The following is a 10,902-nucleotide window of genomic DNA, read 5'->3' as shown; positions in this document are numbered from 1 at the left end:
AGTGGAGGAGACAGGGGATGAACAACTAACTGCATTACAAAGTAGAATGAAATATATGGGCTCCAATATTTCATATTCCAGTATTCTAATATAAGGAATATGCAAGGGATGGAGAGGGGTCAGCAGGAAGGGCTTGCTGGAAGAGTATAAGCCTGGTCTTCTATGAATGAAAAGGATTTCAAAAGGAGGGAGGGGGTGGGCAGAGAGAAAATCTGGGGCCAGATGGTTTGTGGAACTCTCAAATGCCCAACTTTATTCTAAAGACAATGAAGTCTAGGGGCAAGGGATGGGGGGAGGACAGTGAGTAGCCTTTGTCTTTAGGAAACAGTACTGCCTAGCACCCAGGTCACCGCCACTGGGCTCCAGCCCCTGCTGCCCTACCACTCTAGCCCAGGCCACTTCCCTCCACGCAACTCAGCCCAGCCTGGCCTAGTTTCCACACACACCTTGGTTCAGCCCCAACTCACCAGGGTTTATAGAACAGGAGGGCAAGAGCACGTTCCCTCAAGCCCTCCTTTCAGAAAATGGTTATACCTCTATTGCAACCATTACATGTGAAACTACTGTACACAGATGAGATAGGCAAATATGTCTAAAACCTAAGAGCCCCTAGTTCCTATTGAGTCGAAGTACTTGACCTACTAGTAGCTCCTCTTCTGATACTCATTGGTAGCAGAGGAACTGCATGCCTCCTGCCTCCAAAGCGGTATTCGTGGGCCCACACTGGGAGGCTCAGGGAGCTATTCAGCCCCATTGCAATCAAAGTAAAGTGCTCTTCTCCATTTTTCACTCCAAAATCAAGCTAAATGCTGACTATTTCAGGATGTTCAAAGATGGCTGCCATGAGACCTGCAGGTGGCTGCCTTCACTTTAATCTATGAACGCCATCTAGGCAATGACATTTTCCAGCTGCAGAAATAAATGTGCCTTTCTAGCAAACTACTACCATCAATGCAAATAAGTGGGCTTGGGAGCTCAGATAAAACAATCAAGCAGCCAACCTGGTGGGAAAAGAGGTCCCTGAAGCTCAATATACCACTACTTAGTTCAGAGTATTTAGAGGAGAATAGAATTGGCTCCAATGGGCCTCATAACCGCAGTTTCTCCTGTCAAGCAGGGCTAAGGGCTCAGCCCTAGGTTATGAGACTGACTGGGAGAGAGTTGAGAGGAGGTGAAAAATTCCACTGTCAAGAAACCTTCTGTAGCCTTCTCTAGCCACTCCCTCCCCCACCAGGCTGCTCTAGGCCCCAGGCCCATTTGCCACCAGTCGTAGCCCTGACCCTTCCAATACAGACACATTACTGGCTAGTGAATTATTTTCTTCTTCCATGAGGTAACTAGTCAACTCCTTCTCCTCCTTTCACTCTATTTCAGAATGCAACTCTCTGACCCTATCCCTCCTCATTCCAATCTCCCATCCAGGGGCAACATAAACCCTTTGATCCCTGCACACACAAACAAGTACTCCTCAGCTTAAGGATGGCTTTGAGAATATTCCTTAATTGAAGGGTATGTGTAGACACTTTTCAAACATTTTCCTAAATGAGACCCATATTTATCAATACAATTTGATGTAGAAAATGTATGATTTTCATGACTGCTCTCCCAAAACTACAAGCTAGTAGAATACTTGCAATACAAATTCCCAGCATTTTGGGAGATGTGATACCTGACTATTGTTTAGGCAAAGCAAATAAACCCGAGAAAATTGACTCCAAAGATTTATTACTTAAACACAGCTAAGTCAAACTTGAACATTCTCAGCCCCCCTCCAAGGAACAGCAAACAGAAATAGACCACCAACAACTAGAAATGTGCAGATTTCACTGAGGAATAAGAGCATTATCTGGCATTTCATAAACTCTATGTGCTAAACCAATATGCATTTTTAAATGATCACTCAGATACAAAGGTGTAATACAGTTTGTATAATCAACTCCCATTAGAAAAATACACATTTTACATAAAATTTATTTGACAATAGTTCTGATGGAATTAGATGCTCTGAGCAATATGAAGGAGAAAAAGGAAAAGAAAATTTCATCTGAAAAACCAGTATGGTACTCAACTTTAATTTTTTAAAGAAATGTGCCTCCCTTGCTCTAATTGCTTTAATTTAAATCTTTTTAAGGTAGCTTTTCAGGAAAATATGATATAGAATAAATCTGTTTCCCAATCTGTTTTCTTCCATACAATCAGTATTTTGTGTCATACAAACTGAGGCCAGACAATGAGATTTTACATTTTTATATATATGCTTAAAATTATGTAATTAGGGGCACACACATATATATCTCAATTGATGTTCATATAGATATACAGATATTCAAGGGCAAGGGAGATGTGCTTGGAATCCTTTGGGGAAATACTTTACTCCACCTTCAGCACACTGTAGATTTTAGCAATTAACCAGAAACAGGAAAAAAATCCAACTGTCTCTGAAACAAAATGAAAAAGATCTTTGTTAGCCAGACGTCATAGCAAATGAAAGTAGCTTTCTCAAAAACACAAAGCATGTCAGTTTTGAGGTGGGCTACTGATTCTCCCAACTCTCAAGATTTGTACATTTATCAAATAAAAACCAACAGGTTCTCTTGCTGAGCAAACAGGATGAGCAACAGGGCCAGAGGCAGTCATCTGCAAACGGGTGTGAGAATCCATCTGATTGAATTCTGCAGGTCTCTAACCAAAGCAAGAAAACAAAATTAGTAGCTTAACTTCTCCATTTCAAAAAGAATAAAAGAGGTCCAAGCCTAGTTTCTGATACAAAAAAACTTCTTATAACTTGCTTCAATTTAGAAAATGTAAATAACCCTTATCACTACCCATAGCCAAAGGGGGTAATAATCTTGTTTATTTGCATATCCAGAGCATATATTAGTTTTATAAATCAAAGTTTTGTATCATTAAACTTTAACAATTTTATTAAACTTTTTTTTTTGAGACAGTCTTACTCTGTCGCCCAGGCTGGAGTCCAGTGGCATAATCTCAACTCACTGAAACCTCCACCTCCAGGGTTCAAGCGATTCTCCTGCCTCAGCCTCCCGAGTAGCTGAGATTACAGGAGCCTGCCACCATGCCCAGCTAGTTTTTGTATTTTTTGTAGGGTTTCATCATGTTGGTCAGGCTGGTCTCAAACTCCTGACCTCAAGTGATCTGCCCGCCTCAGCCTCCCCAAGTGCTGGGAATACAGGCATAAGCCACTGTGCCTGGCCTTAAACTTTATTTAAACTCTAAAACCATCTTGGAGTCAGGTGCACTGGCACGTGCCTGTGGTCCCAGCTGAGGAGGCTGCGACGGGAGATCGCTTGAGCCCACGAATTCAAATGCAGCCTGGGCAACATAGCGAGCCCCATCTCAATAAATAAGTGAATAAAGAAATAAATGAGAAAAACATCTCATTTGGAAGGATTTATCCTAAAGAAATGGCCCCATATTCAAAAAATTACATGCAAAATGGTGATAATACTATGATTTATAAAAATTATATATATATAAAGAAAATTAAAAACAAACCAAATGCGACCAAAATAGGCAATTAGCTAAATTATGTCCCGAGTGCTCAATGAAATAATACAAAAATGACCAATGTAAAGACTATGTAGCAGCATAAGGCAATCTTTATAATATGGTATCAGGTGATAAAAGGCCTTAAATGATTCCCAGGTATCATACCAGTGTGAACATAATATAAGCATAAATATGTGGACCAGATAGAGCAGAGCATACATAAAAGAAGGCACCTTTATATTTCAGGATGATATAATTATGAGCAAATTTTTCTTTAATACATGATTTCATTGACATTCATATTATTAAAAACTTTTCAGATGATATTATGGTTCAATGACTTAATCAAAGAAAATTCCAGATTCTATAGTCTAATGGTGCACCCCAGGACAATTCATCTAGGAAAACATCTTACTCAATAAGGAGATGGCAGAAAGTTTTAGGCAGCAGTTGGTACCTTTTTCCTTGCCAGACTCCAAACTTAGGATAACTTTCCATCCAATATATCATACCACTTCCTTCTACTCTTCAGTGCTCATCAGGAATCAGTATGGTATAGTGATTAAGACCATGGGTATAGAGTAACACAGATCTACTCTATTGGTTTACTAGATGTCTGATCTTGGGCAAGTAACAATCTTGCCAAGCCTCTGTTTTCTCAGCTGGAAAATGGGGATGATAATACCTATTCTTACTCTAAGCTTCCTTCTCTGAATCCAACTTCAAAGGTTCAGGAGATGGCAGGTGTATAGCTAACACATGTCTCAGAATCAAAAACATCTCTGATTTTGATTTGCTGCCTATTCTCCCCATAAACCATTGAAATGTTTATGAATTCTCAACTTTTTGATGCTTTACCTAAAATACACAATTGTCTCCTACCTAAAACACAAAAATCCATCAACCCTCACACTATTTTGGTAGTCAGCTGAGCTAAACAATCTGGACTTTGGAGTCAAGCAGACACTTAGCTATATGATGTAGAACAAGCTACCTACCTCCTCTGTTTCTCAAATGTGAAAAGGAATTCCACTTATGCAACTAAGGCTTTTCCTGAGAGAAAAAGGACAAGATATATTAGAGTGCCTGTCAGAGTAGGCACTCAAGAAATGATAGCTATTATTAATGTTCTGATGTGGGGCTTGAAATTTATGATCACATGGGGTTTATCTGATTGGTGTGATAATTCTCAACATTGGCCACACATTGAAATCACCTGGGGAGATTTAAATACTACCACCTGGGTGACACCCCCAGAGATTCTGATTTAATTGATCTGGGATGCAGCCTGAGAGTCAAGATTTCAAAAAGCTCCCCTCTCAGCTAGTCTGCCCCTCCCTCCCTTCCTTCCTTCCGTCTTCCACTGAACCAAAGGGCCACTGAACCACACAAGTTAAAAGCAACTTAAAGGATCTGGAGAGATTAATTTTTTTTCTACAGCTGAATTGCTTGCATCACAATTTAAGAGTAGAAAACAGCAGATAAAACAAAAACGGGGAGAATTATCACCCTGATATCTTTGCTTACTTTTGCTTCAGGTCAGAGAAAGCACTAAACCAATATTAAAAATGCCCTAGCTTCTTTCTTTCTTTAAGATGGAGTCTCCCTCTTTCGCCAGGCTGGAGTGCAGTGACATGATCTCAGCTCACTGCAACCTCCGCCTCCCGGGTTCAAGTGATTCTCCTACCTCAGCCTCCTGAGTAGCTGGGACTACAGGCACGTGCCACCACACCCGGCTAATTTTTGTATTTTTAGTAGAGACGGGGTTTCACCCTGTTGGCCAGGATGGTCTCGATCTCCTGACCTCGTGATCCACCCGCCTCGACCTCCCAAAGTGCTGGGATTACAGGCGTGAGCCACTGCACCCGGCCGCCCTAGCTTCTTTCTAAGCTTCAGAACCTTTCATAATGATACAGAACCAAAAGACAATCCAACCACAGGATCCTGAATGAGGCAGTCCAAGAAAAGCAGAGAAACCCATTTTTCCCCTTTCCCTTCCCTAATTGCAATTCTACAATGAAAATAATTCAGTCTGATCCTGGGATAGGTATCCAACGTACATTTCTTCTAAGGGTTTCCCAATGTGGTCATATAACTACACTAAAAAAAGAAAAAGAAACTAGTTAAATAAAACATTTTGAAAGTCTACTACTTTCTATTCAACATAAACAAATCTTTTGGTGGGGGTGTGGTGGTGCACACCCGTAGTGCTAGCTACTAGGGAGGCTGGGGCCAGCCTGGGCAACATAGTGAGATCTCATCTCAAAAAAAATTTCTAAAGAGTCTTTCCACAGCCACCATGGAGACTAAATTCCAAGAACTTGCAGCAGTGAATAAGACATGCAGGAAAAAGATTGTCCATAAAGCTGGAATTTCAGCCACTGTGCAAAATAATAAAGGGAAAGCTTATTTGGGGATAAGGGTCTTGGGGGCCTTGACTCCCTTTAGCCACATTTCATTTTGCGTTCACTAAGCACTTTCTCTGGGCCTGGCACTTGCCAGGTAGTGTGAGGGATAGAAAAGGGGTTCTTGTAGAAAATAATCTCAGTTGGTGGCTGTGCTACACATCACTATTGATGTAGAGGTCAAAGTCGGAGACCTGGAAATCACCCTTAACTCCTCCCTCTTTTGCACCCACATCTTGTCAGTTACCAAGTCCTGCAAATTGCAACTCCTTAATAGCTTTTGAATCCCTCTCCTCCATATCCGTCTATCTCCACAGCCATGGGATATTAAGCCACTCCCTCTTCATCTCTCACTTAACCGTTTGTTGACTTCTCTCCCTACCTCCAGTCTTCCTCTCAAATCCATTCTCTACTCTGTCAATGTGATTGTGATATTTCCAAGCCACAAAATTTGATTGTCATGCCCTTAAAAACCTGGCCGGGCATGGTGGCACAAGCCTGTAATCCTAGCGCTTGGGGAGGCCAAGGCGGGCGAATCACCTGAGGTCGGGAGTTCGAGACCAGTCTGGCCAATATGGTGAAACCTTGTCTCTACTAAAAATACAAAAAAATTAGCTGGGCATGGTGGCAAGCGCCTATAGTCCCAGCTACTTGGGAGGCTGAGGTAGGAGAATCGCTTGAGCCCGGGAGGTGGAGGTTGCAGTGAGCCGAGATCATGCCACTGCACTCCAGCCTGGGTGACAGAGCCAGACTCTGTCTCAAAAAAAAAAAAAAAACACTTCCCCATAGCAAAAGTACTCAAGCCCTGGAGTGTATTAGGAACTGGTTAAGCCATTAGAAATACAGATCAACAGGGATTCTGACCCATAGGCTCTTGGATAGTCCCTGGACATCAGATTTATTGGTTTTAGTTGATGTTAAATAATTGCCGCAAGTGAATCTGATGCACGTCCAAGCTTTATCTGGCAAAAATTCCAACTCCTGGCCAGGTGTGGTGACTCCTGCCTATAATCCCAGTGCTTTGTGAAGCTGAGGTGGGAGGATTACTTGAGGCCAGAAGTTTGAGACCAGCCTGAGCAACATAGTAAGACCCTGTCTCTACAAAAAAAAAAAAAAATTAATTAGCTGGGCATGGTGGTACATGCCTGTAGTCTTAGCTACTCTGGAGGCGGAGGTGGGAGGATCGCTTGAGCCCAGGAGTTCAAGGTTACAGTGAGCTATGATGGCACCCCTGCACTCGAGCCTGGGTGACAGAGTGAGACCCTGTCTCTAAAAAATAAAATAAGTAATTACAACTCCTTAGTGTTGGCACACAAGGCCCCCCAGGGTCAGGTCATGACCTACTCCTTCAGGCCTTGTTCCTGCCAGTTTACACCTTAAAATTTTAAACTCCAGCAACCCCAAGTTATCTAGAGATATTTATATGCCATGCCTTGCTCAGTTGTCAACTTTACCTTCTACTTTTAAGATTCAGTCTTCCCTCAAAACATAAGACACATCTCTATCACTTTCTAGAGAAAAGTCTTTCCTTCCCTCTTTCACTCTCCCCAAGTGAGCTAAGTGCCCTCCTCTGTGCTTTCACAAAACCCTGGGCTTCAATGTATCAGGTTCTGCACTGCCATGCATGGAGATGACCCATTTAAGGGTCTTCTCTCTTAAGACTATAGCCTTCAGGCTAGGAATTAAGTCTTTAATCTTATGCCCCCAGTGCTTAGCATAGTGTTGGGCACATTGTAGGTGGACAATGCATATTTGTTAAACTGAAGTATTTAAATTAACTGCTTAGCAATGTAAGCTCCATGAGGATCAGGATTTTTATCCCTTTATAGTTTTGCTCACCACTAAAACCCCAGTACCTACAGCAGAGCCTGGCACACAGTTGACGTTCAATATGTACTTACTGAATGAATGAATGGTGGGACTTTGGAGCAGGCATCATAGAGTAAAGTTCTATAAAGCTGGGTTCAGACACATTTGAGGATTGGAGACTACTATTCCAGAGAGAGGAATAAAGTTCCCATAAAGGCCTAAAAAAACACTCAAAGCCCTGGCAGTTTTAAGGAACAGTAAGAACCATGACAGAGGGATTGCAGCATTAAAAGTGTAAGATAGACAATTAAGGGAGCACTAAAGAGGGCATATATGCCTCTCTACTCCTTGGCACTTGGGAGGCTGCAGTGGGAGGATTATCTGAGCCCAGGAGCTCGAGGCTGCAGTGAGCTATGATAGCACCACTGCATTCCAGCATGGGTGACAGAGTGAGATCCTCTTTTTTTTTTTTTTTTTTTTTTTTTTTTTTGAGAGAAGTTTCGCTCTTGTCCCCCAGGTTCGAGTGCAATGGCTTGATCTCAGCTCACTGCAACCTCTGCCTCCCAGGTTCAAACAATTCTCCTGCCTCTTCCTCCCATGTAGCTGGGATTAAGGCGCCTGCCACCACACCTGGCTAATTTTTGTATTTTTTAGTAGAGACGGGGTTTCACCATGTTGGCCAGGCTGGTCTCGAACTCCTGACCTCAGGCGATCCGCCTCGGCCTCCCAAAGTGCTGGGATTACAGGCGTGAGTCGCCGTGCCTGGCCTAATTTTTTTTTTTTTTTATAGGAGAAAACACTGCAAGAGTAGATAAGGGGGCCAGATATTGCATGCCAAGTTAAGAAGTTTGGATTTGACCATGTGGGCAACTGGGAGCCAGTGAAGATACATAAGCCAGAGAATAAGACAATCAAATTTGTATTTCAAGAAGATGATGATAATAATTGGCTTTTACTAAATTATATGCCTGTCTCTGAGTTACAGGCTTCACATGTGTGATGACATTCAGTTGTGCTTTTCTGAGGCAGGTACTATTATTTTCCGCATTCCACAAGGAAATGGAGGCTCAAAGAGGTGAAGTGACTTGCCTTATAATACATACCCAATAAATAGCAGATAGGAGTCAAAGCCGATTCTGCCCTTGATTGTTCTAGGAAAGATATCAATATGGGCTGACGTGACCAGAAACCACTTTGTGCAGAAAGACCTCAAAAAACAAGCAGCAGTTAGACAGGAAAAGGTAGAGAGACCAACCCAGTCATGAGATGCCAGAGGACGTGAAATGCACAACACAAGAATGCCAGAGAATGCAGCTTCTGATTACCTCTGGGGGAATAGAACACCTCTTTAAGAGGAGACTTTCTGTTGAAACTTTTTAGTATGATACTCAAAACTCGAAGAATACTGAACACCACAAGGCCCATAGTTAGTCTATAACTACTTGCACTGAGTAAAAGAACAGGACCCAGAAGTTTTCTGTATCCTTGAGAATAGGGATGACTGTGTCCTGTTCTCCTACAGAACCTACCACTTTCTTCGGTCCATAAATGTAAACTGAGATCAAAATAAACTGGAATTAAGAACGTAATGGAATTATTCCAGAGGTTACACTAGCCTTGACTCCCTGTATCCCAGAATCATGTAGTAAAACAGAAAGGATGTTTTTTTTAAAGAAGGGTTGAAGGGGCATGGGAAAGACCAGAGATATTCTATTGTCATCCTTTATTCCTGAGGGTGATATTGTATTGCTTTACATGCACCAGTCTTAGTTCCCCCAGTTAAGAGCAGTCCACTTGGTCAAATAGAGGACTACAGAGCAGATTTTGGAGGCACCCTTTAGTTGTTGGTTTGGCTCTAGCTCGAGAAAGTGCCTCTTGAGGAGGACATAGAGAGTTGTACTTTGAAAGAATGAGCTTTGAGGTCAGACAAACCTAGGTTTGAATGAATCATGGCTCTACCACTTACTGGCTGAGTGACTGTGAACAAGTCAATCTCTCTGGGCTTCAGTTGGCAATTGTAAAAATTAAGTGAGATAAATGTGTGCAAATAGCTGGCACATAATCAACTCAATAAAAATAGTATTATATCTTAATGTTTCCTTATTCTCAATTAATATGTTACCAAGCCCATAGAAGATGCTTAATAAATACTTACTGGTTGGTTAACAATCAGCATTAATACATTTTTATCTCTTTTTGATCTTTCAGCCTTTAAAACTGAAGATTTTAATAAGGTAGAGCTAGCAACAACTTGGTATAATAAAACACAAAAGGCCCCTTATAGCTAACATTTGTGTGTTAAGATAATTGGACATTTCCTTCAGTATATTTCATCTTGTTCTGTGTGAAAACATGAAATCTTCTTTAATTTAGTGATAAAATATTACACAGTAGACTGTCCCAAAATATACTGAACTTCATTAGCTTCTTTTAATGAATAAAAATATATTCAAAGCACAGACAGTGAGAAAGCCAACAGAAAAGCACTCTTCATTTGGCTAATACTTCTGGGTCTTAAAATCTCTTTGTAACACACTGGCTTCAGTCACTGCCCAGTGATTGGTGGTACAGGGTCTCAGACTCTCGACATAATCTCTCAAAATGATCAAAAATGTATTCTGAAAATAGCATTAACTCCCAAGTAAATGTAAGGTTCAAAAATGGCTCACTCTAGACCAGGATTTCTTGACAGCAGCACTATTGACGTTTTAGGCCAGATAATTCTTTGTTGTGGAAGCTGTCCGGCACACTGTGGGATATTTGGTGGTGTCCCTGATGTCTATTCACTACATGTCATTAGTATCCTCCCAGTCATGACAATCAAAAATGTCTCTATACAGTGCTAAATGTTCCCTGGGGTAGTGGGCAAATTGCCGCAGTTGAGAACCACTGCTCTAGAATAAGAGACTGCAGCTAAATGCAAACATTTTTAACTCCTTCCCTAAAATACAGATCATTGTATAAAATATTTAATTTACTACCCAATGGCAATGGCAGCCAATTTTTTTTTTTTTTTGAGACAGAGTCTCGCTCTGTCACCCAGGCTGCAGTGCAGTGGCACAATCTCAGCTCACTGCAACCTCCGTCTCCCAGGTTCAAGCGATTCTGTCTCAGCCTCCCAAGTAGCTGGGACTACAGGTGTGTGCCACCACACCCAGCTAATTTTTGTATTTTTAGT

Source organism: Homo sapiens, chromosome X (genome assembly GCF_000001405.40).
Source record: "Homo sapiens chromosome X, GRCh38.p14 Primary Assembly".
Classification (NCBI taxonomy): Eukaryota; Metazoa; Chordata; class Mammalia; order Primates; family Hominidae; genus Homo; species Homo sapiens.
The sequence above is the reverse complement of the archived record's forward strand: the minus strand, read 5'-3'. Positions refer to the sequence as shown.